The sequence below is a fragment of the Homo sapiens genome, chromosome 12, assembly GCF_000001405.40.
Source record: "Homo sapiens chromosome 12, GRCh38.p14 Primary Assembly".
Classification (NCBI taxonomy): Eukaryota; Metazoa; Chordata; class Mammalia; order Primates; family Hominidae; genus Homo; species Homo sapiens.
In genome coordinates this window covers 129,850,884-129,866,903 of record NC_000012.12, presented here as the reverse complement: position 1 = coordinate 129,866,903, position 16,020 = coordinate 129,850,884, and the positions used below count along the sequence as shown (strand labels likewise).

At 49.1% G+C, this 16,020-nt stretch overlaps 1 protein-coding gene and 1 long non-coding RNA gene across 9 annotated transcripts in view, besides 1 other annotated feature; both read left to right on the top strand.

Moving 5' to 3' along the window:
- TMEM132D (transmembrane protein 132D) overlaps window positions 1-16,020 on the top strand; it is an 832,300-nt gene that overhangs the window by 37,122 nt on the left and 779,158 nt on the right. The window lies entirely within an intron of this gene.
- LOC124903085 (uncharacterized) lies at window positions 6,252-15,990 on the top strand. Of its 8 annotated transcripts, none has more exons than XR_007063610.1 (4): window positions 11,618-12,343; window positions 13,095-13,322; window positions 13,587-13,657; window positions 13,791-15,990. It is a non-coding gene; the product is annotated as an uncharacterized LOC124903085 (long non-coding RNA). The 8 variants fall into 8 exon arrangements; XR_007063606.1 differs by adding an exon at window positions 12,929-12,992 and having other exon boundaries at window positions 13,587-15,990; XR_007063609.1 differs by adding an exon at window positions 6,252-7,813 and having other exon boundaries at window positions 12,172-12,343; window positions 13,095-15,990.
- Window positions 12,365-13,564: an enhancer, noted in NCBI's record as "MED14-independent group 3 enhancer chr12:130337885-130339084 (GRCh37/hg19 assembly coordinates)". NCBI's record gives its function as "activates an origin of replication core promoter dependent on BRD2, BRD4, P300/CBP and CDK7 cofactors, and independent of MED14, by STARR-seq in HCT116 cells {active_cell/tissue: HCT116}" and the evidence as "EXISTENCE:reporter gene assay evidence [ECO:0000049][PMID:35650434]".

Here is a 16,020-nt window from a genome sequence, read left to right as displayed (position 1 = left end):
CATTCGTTCATTAATGGACACATAGGCTGACTCATCTTGGCTATTGTGAATCCCCCTGCATGATGAGCAGAAGTTCTGAACATGGGAGTTCAGATGTCTGTGCAAGGTGCTGACTCATTTTCTTTGGATATATACCCAGAGTGGGATTGCTAGATCATATGGGAGTTCTATTTTTAATATCTCGAAGAGCCTACGTACTGTTTGCCGTAATGGCTTTACCAACTTACATTCCCACCCACAGTGTGCCAGGAGTCTCTCTTTTCTACATCCTGTCCAACACTCATTTTTCTTTTTTTTTTTAATATATTTTTATTATACTTTAAGTTCTAGGGTACATGTGCACAACATGCGGGTTTGTTACATATGTATACATGTGCCATGTTAGTGTGCTGCACTCATTAACTCGTCATTTACATTAGGTATATCTCCTAATGCTATCCCTCCCCCCTCCCCCCACCGCACAACAGGCCCCGGTGTGTGATGTTCCCCACCTTGTGTCCATGTGTTCTCATTGTTCAATTCCCACCTATGAGTGAGAACATGCAGTGTTTGGTTTTTTGTCCTTGCGATAGTTTGCTGAGAGTGATGGTTTCCTGCTTCATCCATGACCCTACAAAGGACATGAACTCATCATTTTTTATGGCTGCATAGTATTCCATGGTGTATATGCTAACACTCATTTCTCATCTTTTTGATAATAGCCATCCTAACAGGTGTGAGGTAATATCTCATTGTGGTTTTGATTTGCATTTCCCTGGTGAATAGTCATGTCGAACCCTTTTTCATATACTTCTTGGCCATTTGTGTGCCATCTTTTGAGAATAAGCATACAGTTTTAAACCCAGGGGGTGTGGAGTAAAACCACAGCAGTGTGAGAGGAAAACCAAACCAAAACAAACACCAAACTTAACGATGTCTTAGTCGTTAGGCACACGATCTGAGACAGCCAGACAACCCCAGACCTATAGCACTGCAAGAGAGTCACACCACGATGTAGCTCTGGAGCCTGACTTCTGGTTCAAATCCAGGCTTCTTGACTCATTAGTCCCGTGACCACTGCCTTCACTGTACCCCTGTTCCCTTGCCTGCTGAATGCAAGTTATAAAATACCTCCATCATGGGACTGCAAGAATTAAGTGACATAATATCCATCAGGCATGTAGACCAGTGCCGGGCATAGAGGATGCCCAAGCAGTCATCAGTTGCGATGCGTTCAGTATATTCCGTGTGTCAGACTGAACACCCTTGCTCCCCACAGTTCATTCTTCACACAACAGCCAGGATGCTTAAAATACAGAAGTCAGACCATTGCACTCACAATGAAACCCAGATTCCCTCCATGCCTGCTCATTGCAAGACGTAATCACTCCTGTCTCTTGGAGTGTTCGTAGAACTGTTGAGCAGAAGTTGTATGATTGCAGGCTCCGTGATGAGCTCACACGGAGTTTGGAGGGAACTCACTGCTGTGGACCCATCTTGCACAACCAAGCCTTTGTGTAATTGGTTGTGACCATAGTAGTAGGATTGTGTTTACTCATATTCTCCTGGTATTCTCCCTTCTGCTCTCTATGCTCCAGCCACACCGGACATTATTCTGTTCATGGAACCCCTGCCTCCAAGTTCATTTCCTTCTCTGCAGTTCCCTCTGCCTGGAACTCTGTCCTGCAGGCTTCTGCACCATTGCAGAGCTACCCCTCAGCACTCCAGTGCCAGCAGACTGTCACCAATGAGAGAGGTCGCCTCCACCCAGCCTGCTCACAGGGGTTTCCAGTGCATCACTTTTACGGCACTTACCTCCACCTCAGCTCATCCTGGGCATTTATTTGTGTGTCTGCTTATTATCTGGATTTCCAACTTTTTCCACTGGAAAATAAGTTCTGACATTGGAGGCTCCATGATGAGCATAAGTTCTGTGATTACAGGCTTCATGATGAGCTCACATAGAGTTTGGATGGAGCTCACTTCTGTGGACCCATCTTGCACGACTGAACCTTGTCTAATTGGTTGTGGCCACTTTAAGACCTAGCCATTGCACTCAGAGGACACGGACTATCTAGAGTACTATGTGAGAGACAGTGCAGAGCATGCTGAATGTACAGTGTCAGGGGGCATTGAGTACCTAATGACAGACATCCAACCCAAACTTACTTCAGGTAACAATGCAGGTGGCAAGGGGATTTATTGGCCCAAACAAGTAAGAATGTCAGAATAACCTTCAGGCGTAGCTTGATCCAGGGACCCAACATCAGTGCCACTAGTCTGTCCCCATCTCTTGTCTCTGCTGTCCTCGGGAGTGGCTTCCTTCTCAGGCAGTCTCCTTATGTGGTGGCTTCCAGCAGGTCTCCAATTACATCCTCCAAACTTCAGGTTCAGCAGGAAAAACACCTTATCTTTTTCAGTGGTCAAAATAAACAGCCACTCCTTGAGTCTTATGGGTCTGCCTGTGGGCATGTGTATTAATCAATTGCTATAAAACAGACTACCCCAAAACTCTGATAGTGACTTAAAGCAGGATAGTTACATATGATTTTGCTGTTTCTATAGGAGAGAAATTCAGACGCAGCCCTGTGGGGCTGGTTTGTCTTTGCTTCATGATGTCTGGGGCCTCTGCTGAGAGATTCCAAGGCTGACGTCTGGAATCATCTCAAGGCCTGACAGGGGCTGGAGAATCCAGTTCTAAAGTGGTTTGCTCAAATGGCTGATGCTTTGGTTTTAATTCTCTCCACCTGGACCACTCTGCGGGGCTGCTTGAGTCTCCTCACAAGATGGCGCTGGCTTCCCCCAGAGAGTAAGATAGGAGTGGCAGTGCTTTTTATGCCCCACCTTTGGAACTCACATTCTGTCATCTCAGCTACATGCTGTTCTTTAGAAGTGAACTAGCAGGTCCAGCCCTCACTGGTGCTAGTGGTAGCGCAATTGGGCTCACACTTTAAAGGGATGAGTGATAAAAAGTTTTTCAGACTTATTTTAAAACCCACCATATCCCTAAACTTATCATTGCTGTTAGAGGGATAAACTCTGCCGACTGATGAGGCTATATTAGTTCTTGTGGGCAGTTACCAGAAAATGGCAGAAAAGATTCCTGTTACAATTTCCTCCCCTGCCCCCCCCAAAAAAACAAAAACAGAAACAAACAATACCTAGATGTTCTGATGCTAGCATTTCATGTATTAAAATATCGTGGGGATATAAGACTACACAGAAATCTTGCTTCTTTTCTGGGGAGGACAGCTGATTTTACCCCAATCCCAATGTTTTTGAATTCTTATTTTCTATCAGCCCTTAGGACACAAGCTTTATACGGAGGGTAATACTAGCAAGGCTTACTAATATTTTGCTTGAATGGGAGATTTTAAGGCCTGCTTTAGCAAAGTTGATATTTTAAAAAGCATCATTATAAGGTAGAAAAATTAAGGTGTATGAAAAAACAGAATTCTTCATTTTACAAAAGAGCTGACCAACAGTGAACTTAAAAATACCAGACTCGCCGTGTTAATGTGAGATGCTGTACACTTTGCACCCTGGTCTCTGCACCCATAACTGTGCAGGGAGCAGGTGTACTCTTTGATTCCCTTGGGAAGAACATGGTTTTGCATCTGGAAAACCTATTAGTTTCCATCGGGGCTGGGGGTGGGGGTGGCTGGCTAGCTGATTCCTTAGCACTGTCCACAAATCCATGCCTCCCTGTTCTGTAAAGGCTTCACAATGCTCTAAGACAGACACCAAGGTCTGTAATTTATACTTTTGCCCAAGCTAAAAATTATAGTGACTTTAATGTGACACAGCCCACATTTGTCTGATAACCGGCCTGTTCCCAATTCCAAGCCCAAGCTCCTCCACAATTTTCAATGCCTCGGTTCTCTGAATGAATTGATGAATGGCCTTAAGTTCCCATTTACATCTGCCCTGGAATCCCTCCCTCGCTGAGGAAGGCGGAACTGCACCAGCCAGGGCCGTTCAGTTCCATCAACATGCAAAGCATGTTGTGATGTGTTTCTGTTCTGTGGCTGAGCTGCTATAGCTTTTTTTTTTTTTAACTAAGCTCATCTTGATGCTTCTTAAACATCAAGCTTTTAGCCTAGGCTGTGTCAGCTTTCAGTCGTGTTTTTATTTTATTACAATGGAATGGTTTTATCCAACATGGGGGTAAATGGCTTGGCTAAGTGCTTTTGAAGCCCAGACTCATTCTCTACTTATACTTGTGTCCGCTCTTAATGGAATTCAAATAAACAGTCCTCCAGCATGAAAGGCACTCTATTAGATTTATTTCTAAATTCTTTTAAGGATGTCAACATGCAGCCCTTGGATGTGATGGGAGAGGCATAGCTGATCAACCCCCATGGCTGCCGTGAATTAGTCTGAACCTATTGGAAATGGAAAGTTCAGAGAGCACAGATGGAAAAGATTGAACTAGTGGCTCAGAGTGAATTGAAAGGGCAGGTTTGCTCTGTGCAGAGAGACACCTGTGCAGTGGAGTGTCAGCAAACACACAGCCCCCTGGAAAACGCCTTCGCTCTTGGCTCCTGAAGGCTGGGTCTGCTTTCAGCATGGAAATCCTCAGCCAGCCCCAGCAAGGATTAATTTCCCGAAGTTTGAGGTTTCCACCTGATTTGAGGCTTGAAATTTAGAGTTGAGAGCATCTGTATTGTGTGGCTTCCTAAACCAGCCTTCAAAACCATTCTGTAACTGGCCAACAGGTTTATTTTTCCCACTTCCCAGACAGACCTGATTTATCACCACCGGGGAATTGCAAAGGAGAAAGAGTATCACACATGTAAAGCCAGCTAAACAGGAGACAGCAGCTTTATCATGACTCAGATGAGCTTCCCAGAGAATTTGGAGGCTAGGGTTTTTCAAGGATAGTTTGGTGGGCAGAGGACTAGGGAGGGGATGCTGCTGATTGGTTGTGGATGCAATTGTAGGTATATGACCCTTGTGTGTTGGGTGTGGCTACAGGAGCAGTTAAGTCAAGAGTCTTGGGTCTGGGTGGGGCCATCTGGTCATCAGAAATGCAAAAGCCTGAAAGGACATCTCAAAAGGCCAATCTTAGGTTCTACAGTAGTGATGTTATCTGCCAGAAATTGGGGAAGTTGCAAATCTTGTGACCTCCAGAATAATGGCTGGTAATCCTTTTTTTTTTTTTTTTCTTTGAGACAGAGTCTCTCTCTGTTGCCCAGGCTGGAGTGCAGTGGTGCAATCTTGGCTCATTGCAACCTTTGATTTCAAGTGATTCTCCTGCCTCAGCCTCCCTAGTAGCTGGGATTACAGGAGTGCACCACCATGACCGGCTAATTTTTGTATTTTTAGTAGAGATGGGGTTTCGCCATGTTGGCCAGGCTGGTCTCGAACTACTGTCCTCAGGTGATTCACCCACCTTGGCCTCCCAAATTGTTGGGATTACAGGCGTGAGCCACTGGGCCCAGCCTGGTAATCATTTAACTAAGCCTACATCTTAGCAGAATTCAGGCTCCTCTCATTTTCCTAACCTGGTGGGCTTTCATTGGTTTTACCGAGGAGGTTTAATTTTGGGGAAGGGCTATTGTCATTCCAACTATAAACTAAATTTCTCCCAAAGTTAGCTTGGTCCAAGCCCAGGAGTAACCAAGGGCAGTTTTGGAGGTTAAAGGTAAGGTGGGGGTTGGTTAGATCACATCCTCTATGTTTCTTATAATTTTCTCAAAGTTATCTATTTCTAACTGTTAAAATGTTTGCAAAAGTGGTTTCAACTCTGCAAGGCAGAGCATTTTTCATTTCATTCCACTGGAATGGTCACAGATTTCTCAAAGTATAATTCTATAAAAAAGATTTTCAGAAAGCGTTTCAAAAGGTTAAAAACATAACATAGTGAAGGAGATTCCAATAATTGCTTCATTTGTTGATAAGCAAACTGATATGGTTTGGCTGTGTCCCCACCCAAATCTCATCTTGAATTGTAGTTCCCATAATCCCTATGTGTCATGGGCGGGACTAGGTGTCTATAATTGAATCATGGAGGCAGTTTCCCCAATCCTGTTCTTGTGATACTGAGTAAGTTCTCATGAGATCAGATGATTTTATAAGGGGCTTCCCTCTTTGCTCAGCTCTCATTCTTCTTTCTCCTGCTGCCCTGTGAAAAAGGACACGTTTGCTTCCCCTTCTTTCATGATTGTAAGTTTCCTGAGGCCTCCCCAGCCCTGCAGAACTGTGAGTCAATTAAACCTCTTTCCTTTATATATATTACCCAGTCTCGGATATGTTTTTATAGCAGCGTGAGAATGGACTAATACAGAAGCCAACAAGATGACATAGCTAGATAAAATTAGGTTATGAGAAGTTTTATATATATACGCACATATGTATATATATTTATGCATACATATACACAGGGAAAAAGAACGCTTTAAGAGATTGAGAAGTTTGATGCAGACGAGTTTAATGCCCTGGGGCAATAGAACAGTCCCCTTTGAGGATTTCTTTTCTGTAAGACAGAAATTATTCCCATCTCTACTGGACAAAAGTCATTTGTAATGTATCAATCTACTCCAAGTTAACATCTAAATTGACAGAGTTTGGGCCCTGATCAATAGTAAATGGTATGTCAAATAAAGTTCTCTTTCCCTAGAGTCTCCCATGACATTTCAGTGGACTTGTCGAATGTTCTAGCATGATTTTGAAAGGGCATGCAGTAATCGTTTTGCCTTATTTCCAAGTTTTGCATAGTTTTTCTTAGCCAGTTGCATTCTCAAATGTCCACAGAGGCAGAGTGGGGCCGTGTTAGTCTAGGGTGTGCGTGTCCTGTCTAGGGGCAGCTGCTTCTCAATGCCAAGGGCAGTGTGAGTCCCCTGTGACCAGGACCCCAGAATTTCCATGAGAAAGTATAAATGCACATTTTTATGTGAAATGTTCTGTATGAGTCAGGGTTCTCCAGAGGGACAGAACTAACAGGGGAGATGTATACATGAAAGGGAGTTTATTAGGGAGAATTGACTCGCAAGATCCAAGGCAAAGTCCCATGATAGACTGTCTGCAAGCTGAGGAGCAAGGAAGCCAGTAGTGGCTCGGTCTGATCACAAAACCTTAAAAGCAGGGAGGCCGACAGTGCAACCACCAATCAGCCTGTGGCCAAAGGCCCCAGAGCCCCCAGCAAACCACTGGTGTAAGTCCAAGAATCCAAAGGCTGAAGAACCTGGAGTCTGGGGCAGGAAGCATCCAGCATGGGAGAAAGATGAAGGCCAGAAGATTCAGGAACCCAGCTTATCCCACCCTCTTTGCCTGCTTTTTTCTAGCCGCGTTGGCAGCTGATTGGTTGGTGCCCGCCCACACTGAGGGTGGGTCTGCATCTCCCAGTCCATTGACTCAGTTGTTCATCTTCTCTGGCAACACCCTCACAGACACACCCAGAAATGATACTTTACCAGCTATGCAAAGTATTATAGGCATCCTTCAATCACGTTGACATCCAATATTAACCATCACATGTTGTAATTTTAAAATATTGGCAATTAATTCAGTGAAAAGAAAAGAGAACACTGTCTTAATCATTTTGAGCCGAGTATGTTGGTGCAAAAGTAATTGCGGTTTTTGCTATTACGTTTAATGGCAAAGCTGCAATTACTTTTACACCAACCTAATAAAATTCCATAGATGGGTGGCTTATAAACAGCAGGGGTCTATGTCTATGGTTCTCGACCACAGTCTCTATCCTGGATTCCAGGATCAAGGCAGCTGCAGATTCAGTGTCTGCTGGGAACCTGGTTTCTGGTTCGGAGATGGCACCTTCTCACCGTGTCCTCACGTGGTGGAACGGATGAACACCCTCCCGCAGGACTCTTTTGTAAGGGCACCCATCCCGTTCCCCCGGACTCCGTTACAAGGGCACCCATCCCGTTCCCCCGGACTCCGTTACTAGGGCACCCATCCCGTTCCCCCGGACTCCAAGGGCACCCATCCCGTTCCCCCGGACTCCAAGGGCACCCATCCCGTTCCCCCGGACTCCGTTACAAGGGCAGCCATCCCATCCCCCGGACTCTGTTATAAGGGCACCCATCCCGTTCCCCCGGACTCTGTTACAAGGGCACCCATCCCGCTCCCCCGGACTCCGTTACAAGGGCACCCATCCCGTTTCCCCGGACTCCGTTACAAGGGCACCCATCCCGTTTCCCCGGACTCCGTTACAAGGGCACCCATCCCGTTTCCCCGGACTCTGTTACAAGGGCACCCATCCCGTTTCCCCGGACTCTGTTACAAGGGCACCCATCCCGTTTCCCCGGACTCTGTTACAAGGGCACCCATCCCGTTTCCCAGGACTCTGTTACAAGGGCACCCATCCCGTTTCCCCGGACTCTGTTACAAGGGCACCCATCCCGTTCCCCCGGACTCTGTTACAAGGGCACCCATCCCGTTCCCCTGGACTCCGTTACAAGGGCACCCATCCCGTTCCCCTGGACTCCGTTACAAGGGCACCCATCCCGTTCCCCTGGACTCCGTTACAAGGGCACCCATCCCGTTCCCCCGGACTCTGTTATAAGGGCACCCATCCCGTTCCCCCGGACTCCGTTACAAGGGCACCCATCCCGTTCCCCCGGACTCTGTTATAAGGGCACCCATCCCGTTCCCCCGGACTCTGTTACAAGGGCAGCCATCCCGTTCCCCCGGACTCCGTTACAAGGGCACCCATCCCGTTCCCCTGGACTCTGTTACAAGGGCACCCATCCCGTTTCCCCGGACTCTGTTACACCCATCCCGCTCCCCCGGACTCTGTTATAAGGGCACCCATCCCGTTCCCCCGGACTCCGTTACAAGGGCACCCATCCCGTTCCCCCGGACTCTGTTACAAGGGCACCCATCCCGTTCCCCCGGACTCTGTTACAAGGGCACCCATCCCGTTCCCCCGGACTCTGTTACAAGGGCACCCATCCCGTTCCCCCGGACTCTGTTACAAGGGCACCCATCCCGTTCCCCCGGACTCTGTTACAAGGGCACCCATCCCGTTCCCCCGGACTCTGTTACAAGGGCACCCATCCCGTTCCCCTGGACTCCGTTACAAGGGCACCCATCCCGTTCCCCTGGACTCCGTTACAAGGGCACCCATCCCGTTCCCCCGGACTCTGTTATAAGGGCACCCATCCCGTTCCCCCGGACTCCGTTACAAGGGCACCCATCCCGTTCCCCCGGACTCTGTTATAAGGGCACCCATCCCGTTCCCCCGGACTCTGTTACAAGGGCAGCCATCCCGTTCCCCCGGACTCCGTTACAAGGGCACCCATCCCGTTCCCCTGGACTCTGTTACAAGGGCACCCATCCCGTTTCCCCGGACTCTGTTACACCCATCCCGCTCCCCCGGACTCTGTTATAAGGGCACCCATCCCGTTCCCCTGGACTCCGTTACAAGGGCACCCATCCCGTTCCCCTGGACTCCGTTACAAGGGCACCCATCCCGTTCCCCCGGACTCTGTTATAAGGGCACCCATCCCGTTCCCCCGGACTCCGTTACAAGGGCACCCATCCCGTTCCCCCGGACTCTGTTATAAGGGCACCCATCCCGTTCCCCCGGACTCCGTTACAAGGGCACCCATCCCGTTTCCCCGGACTCTGTTACAAGGGCACCCATCCCGTTCCCCCGGACTCCGTTACAAGGGCACCCATCCCGTTCCCCCGGACTCCGTTACAAGGGCACCCATCCCGTTCCCCTGGACTCCGTTACAAGGGCACCCATCCCGTTCCCCCGGACTCTGTTATAAGGGCACCCATCCCGTTCCCCCGGACTCTGTTACAAGGGCACCCATCCCGTTCCCCCGGACTCCGTTACAAGGGCACCCATCCCGTTCCCCCGGACTCTGTTACAAGGGCACCCATCCCGTTCCCCCGGACTCCGTTACAAGGGCACCCATCCCGTTCCCCTGGACTCCGTTACAAGGGCACCCATCCCGTTCCCCCGGACTCTGTTATAAGGGCACCCATCCCGTTCCCCCGGACTCCGTTACAAGGGCACCCATCCCGTTCCCCCGGACTCTGTTATAAGGGCACCCATCCCGTTCCCCCGGACTCTGTTACAAGGGCAGCCATCCCGTTCCCCCGGACTCCGTTACAAGGGCACCCATCCCGTTCCCCTGGACTCTGTTACAAGGGCACCCATCCCGTTTCCCCGGACTCTGTTACACCCATCCCGCTCCCCCGGACTCTGTTATAAGGGCACCCATCCCGTTCCCCTGGACTCCGTTACAAGGGCACCCATCCCGTTCCCCTGGACTCCGTTACAAGGGCACCCATCCCGTTCCCCCGGACTCTGTTATAAGGGCACCCATCCCGTTCCCCCGGACTCCGTTACAAGGGCACCCATCCCGTTCCCCCGGACTCTGTTATAAGGGCACCCATCCCGTTCCCCCGGACTCCGTTACAAGGGCACCCATCCCGTTTCCCCGGACTCTGTTACAAGGGCACCCATCCCGTTCCCCCGGACTCCGTTACAAGGGCACCCATCCCGTTCCCCCGGACTCCGTTACAAGGGCACCCATCCCGTTCCCCTGGACTCCGTTACAAGGGCACCCATCCCGTTCCCCCGGACTCTGTTATAAGGGCACCCATCCCGTTCCCCCGGACTCTGTTACAAGGGCACCCATCCCGTTCCCCCGGACTCCGTTACAAGGGCACCCATCCCGTTCCCCCGGACTCTGTTACAAGGGCACCCATCCCGTTCCCCCGGACTCCGTTACAAGGGCACCCATCCCGTTCCCCCGGACTCCGTTACAAGGGCACCCATCCCGTTCCCCTGGACTCCGTTACAAGGGCACCCATCCCGTTCCCCCGGACTCTGTTATAAGGGCACCCATCCCGTTCCCCCGGACTCTGTTACAAGGGCACCCATCCCGTTCCCCCGGACTCCGTTACAAGGGCACCCATCCCGTTCCCCCGGACTCTGTTACAAGGGCACCCATCCCGTTCCCCCGGACTCCGTTACAAGGGCACCCATCCCGTTCCCCTGGACTCCGTTACAAGGGCACCCATCCCGTTCCCCCGGACTCTGTTATAAGGGCACCCATCCCGTTCCCCCGGACTCCGTTACAAGGGCACCCATCCCGTTCCCCCGGACTCTGTTACAAGGGCACCCATCCCGTTCCCCCGGACTCCGTTACAAGGGCACCCATCCCGTTCCCCCGGACTCCGTTACAAGGGCAGCCATCCCGTTCCCCCGGACTCCGTAACAAGGGCACCCATCCCGTTCCCCTGGACTCTGTTACAAGGGCACCCATCCCGTTCCCCCGGACTCCGTTACAAGGGCACCCATCCCGTTCCCCCGGACTCCGTTACAAGGGCACCCATCCCGTTCCCCCGGACTCCGTTACAAGGGCACCCATCCCGTTCCCCCGGACTCTGTTACAAGGGCACCCATCCCGTTCCCCCGGACTCTGTTACAAGGGCAGCCATCCCGTTCCCCCGGACTCTGTTATAAGGGCACCCATCCCGTTCCCCCGGACTCTGTTATAAGGGCACCCATCCCGTTCCCCCGGACTCCGTTACAAGGGCACCCATCCCGTTCCCCTGGACTCCGTTACAAGGGCACCCATCCCGTTCCCCCGGACTCTGTTATAAGGGCACCCATCCCGTTCCCCCGGACTCTGTTACAAGGGCACCCATCCCGTTCCCCCGGACTCCGTTACAAGGGCACCCATCCCGTTCCCCCGGACTCTGTTATAAGGGCACCCATCCCGTTCCCCCGGACTCTGTTACAAGGGCAGCCATCCCGTTCCCCCGGACTCTGTTATAAGGGCACCCATCCCGTTCCCCCGGACTCTGTTACAAGGGCAGCCATCCCGTTCCCCCGGACTCTGTTATAAGGGCACCCATCCCGTTCCCCGGACTCTGTTCCCTGATTGTCTTGCATAGGGCTCTCCGTCTAATAGCATCACCTCGGTTAAGATCTCAGCATTAATTTGGGGGAGGGGCATAAACATCCAGTCATTGCAAATACCATGTGGGCAAACAAAGTAGGTCCAAGGTTGCTGGATGGTGCCTTCTGAAAAGTCATCTGGTAGACCGAGGCTGTTTCAGTAAGGCAGCACAGTCAGGAGGGAGGGAGTCTCCAGCCAGATGGCTCGGCTCAGATCCCAGCTCTGGTGCTTGCTAGCTGTGTGAAGATGAGCTGGGATTTTATCTAACTGTGTCTCATTTCCATATCTTTAAAATGGGTGCTAGCACAACACCTACCTCATCCACTTAGGAGGAGCTGATGAGTATCAACGATCCAGAGAGTTCCTGGCCCGCAGCTGGCACACAGTCCACGTTACTGTCAGACAGTGGGGAGAAAAGAGTTTCCTCATTCTCCTGGTGGGCCGTTCTCATTGCAATGTTGCTTTTGTTCCACAAGGTCAGTTTTTTTCTCACTCTTTCATGAGACTATTTTTAGAAAACTCAATCCATTTCAGTGCTCTTCCCGAAGAACTGTGGGGAATTGTGGGGAATGATTTTCTTGCCCCACTTGGCGATCAGAGCTTGACATCCCACTCGTGAGCATTGACTGTGTGCCGAGTTCTGGGGCTGAATCCTGCTCCTCTGACTTCCTTGGCCTGTGACATTGGCCCTGTGTCACATTTCCTTTTCTGTACAATGAGGTGATGGTCAAGCCTGCCTCAGAGGCCGGGGTGAGAATTTCAAGAGTGAAATTTGGAAACAGCTAAGGACAGTGCCTGGGACATAGTGAAAGTTCAGTGATAGCTGAACGTTTTGTGTCCCCAGGGACCACTGTTTAAGCCTTAACCACCTCCCACTTTATTCCCCACGTTAAGCATTGTGCACTTAGAACAGCCAGTGACGTAACATGGGAAACGTGGGGTGAAAGTGACGAGGACTGCCATGGGCATTAGTAGTATCCCCGCCTCGAGTTACCAAAGAGGAAACGGAGGCCCATCCCCCCAAGGTGGCTTTTCTTTGCGTTATTGCATTGCTTTTCCAGCCTGCCCAGAACTTTGATCCAGCACTCTGTTACCTGGAAACTTCTGTGTGTTTCTTGACTTGCAGTAGGTTCAGTCCTGTTGCCTGTGGGGGGATGGAGTGGAGTTGCGTGATGAGTGTATTGCAGTAAACTTATGAGTCAAACCTAAGACTCCCCTCTCCCCTAGAACACATCCTCCACTCCCTGGAAGATGCAACTCCTACGGAAACTGAGTCCAATGATCAAAGGCACTGGCATTCAGAGGGGACCCACTGATAATTGCCGACTACACAGGAGCTGTCTTCCATAACTCCTCAGAGAGCACGTTGGCCCTACAAATGCAAATCCAACATTCAGCCACGACCTCCCATGTGCCAAGTGTCATGGGATTCATGCTTTCAAACCATCGGTTCCAGTTAAGACTCATATAATGAAACAGATGGGTTCACATGATTTTAGTTTATATGGGAAGAAGCTTTAGACTAAAGCAGAGGGAGGTAAACTTACAGGCAAGCAGGAAGGCTTGAAGGCTTGAGTGTTCTTGGAGGCTCACGGCTGGGTGCAGGCTGACCTTGGGTGAGAGCCCTCGTTCATTGCCCCGTGACACTGTCCTTCCTGTGTTTTCAAACGGCCTCTTGTTCCTGGTCAATATCCTCTGCGCTTCTCTTTGGGGATTTAGGACACCACGACATTCTCTTCATTGTCCAAGGAAACCATTCTCCTCATCTAGAAACATCATCGATTTCTGAAGTTAAATTGAGACCAGAGTGGATTCTGCACATCAGTCTCTCCCCTTTCCCTCTGTGACTGTGGACTCTGGGAGGGTTGAAGGGAGGTGGTGCCAATGGCAAAGACATGCTCTGATGGTGCGGCTTTTCCACAGGCCTTTCTTAAGCTGTGACTGGGTCTCAGATCTTTCTTCAGACCTGAGGGATGTTTAGAGTGGAGGATGTTTGCAACCATCAGTCTTCCGTCATGTTACACTGGAGTTTCGTGGCAGTGACGTGAATTAAAGAGTAATATTTTAGATTTGATATTTTATTGCTGCATAATTTATTATAATTTTTAGTGGTCAATCTCAGCATCCTGATTCAGCTTCAGAAAAGTTTGGAAAGTCTCCCAAAGAATGAGGAATGATTAGCCTACCACAGAATCTTCTTTTGGAGGCACAGTGAAAAGCGCATAAAACACAAATGACAGTTTATGACTTATGATAAAGCATTCCCTTGTATAAGCCTGATGCAGGGTCATGAATGAAACCTTGTCCTCACCCCTCGATGTCCTGCTTCCAAGATACCACTCCTTCCCCATCTCCAGAGATCACCCCTGATCTGACTGCCATGGGAATCTCTGCCCCCTAAATACACAATAGGCTTGAGACCCACCCATTTTTAGAGTCTTTACAAAGAATTGGTTGTACATTGTTTTTTTTTATTTTTTATTTTTTTATTTTTAGACAGGGTCTTGCTCTGTTACCCAGGCTGGAGTGCAGTGGTGCGATCTCAGCTCACTTCAGCCTCAACCTGCCGGGCTCAAGCAATCCTCCCACTTCAACCTTATGAGCAGCTGTGACTACAGGCATGCATCACCAAGCCCAGCTAATTTTTGTATTTTTTGCAGAGACAGGGTTTCGCCATGTTGCCCAGGCTGGTCTCAAACTCCTGGGCTCAAGTGATCTGCCCGCCTCGGCCTCCCAAAGTGCTGGTATTACAGGTGTGAGCCACTGCGCCTAGCCTTGGTTGTGTATTTCTATGGATAAAAATATATACACTCAGCAAATAAAATAAAACTTGTAAACTCTTCTGCATCCTCTCTCCCCCTCCCCAGACCCTAGAAGTAACAGGTATTAGGAATTTGGCACAGCATTTTTCAGGCTTTACACATTTGCACAAGGCTTTTGTGTGAGGTTGTGCAGGTTGTGGGTGGCATGACATCAGTTGATGACTTCCACATAAACCAGGGGCTGCAAGCTGCAGCTCGAGGGTCAAGCCCAGCCTGCCACCTGTTCTTGTATGTTTTGTGAGTTTAAAAGTCTTTACATTTTTTAAATGGTTAAGAATTCAAAATAAGGTTTTACAATGTGAAAATTGCACAAAATTCCAATTATGGTGGGCAAACACAAAGTTTTATTAAAATATAGCCATACTCATACATTGGTGGCAGAATTGAGTAGTTGTGGCAAAGACCCTGTGGCTCACAAAGCCTAAAATATTGACTCTCTGGCCCTTTATGGAAAGTTTGCTGGCCCCTGACATAGACAGTGTTGCAGGCGTCTCCCTTGGAGTTTTGCAGTGTGCAGCATGCACTGCTGTAGGGAAGCAGTGCTGTAGGGAAGCAGTGCTGTGAACATGGGTGCACACATCACTTAAAAATAAAACAGTGTTAATGTGCTGTCATTCATTTTACTACTGCTAACACTTTGGTTGCCTTGAATTTTTCACTATTACAAATCATGCTGCAGTAAACATTCTTGTGCTTTTGTACAGCCCTTTGCATGTCACTACAGTTCCAATTATCTCCAACCTAGAGCAGTGTTAATGCTGGCGTGCGTACAATTTAATCAACATTGTGGCACCTTGTGGTAAATGAACAATTTTTCAATTTAATATTTATTATAGTAGCCTGCGAGAAGGAAATCTGTTCTGACTGGTTTAAAAGAGTCTCTATAATGAGCTAGGAGATTTTAAAATTCTAAATGTGAAAAGCAAGTCAACTAATTTACAAATAATTGGGAAACTATTCAGCATAAAGAAAATGTAGCTTTTCATGTGCTTGGATTAGCTGTATACGCAAATTAGATGCTGATGAACTTTCTAGAAGTCAGTTTTCCCTATGGATAGGAACATCTACCTGGCTACATCTGTGCTAGATATTTGGAGAGAAGCATTCAGAATGAAAGCTATATTTTCCGAGCTAATATTTGCATGAATATTGAGATGTCGTTCCCTTTTTGAAGTAAATATTGACCTCAGTTTCACCTTTATTTCTGTGTTCTGATCAACACACACCAATAACTGCTGATGACTGGATGTTCATCCTGGTGGAATCTGCTGGAACCAATAAAAAATGCCTAGCTGCTGTTATTTTTGGTGAGCTTTTTCTTTCAAAAGAAT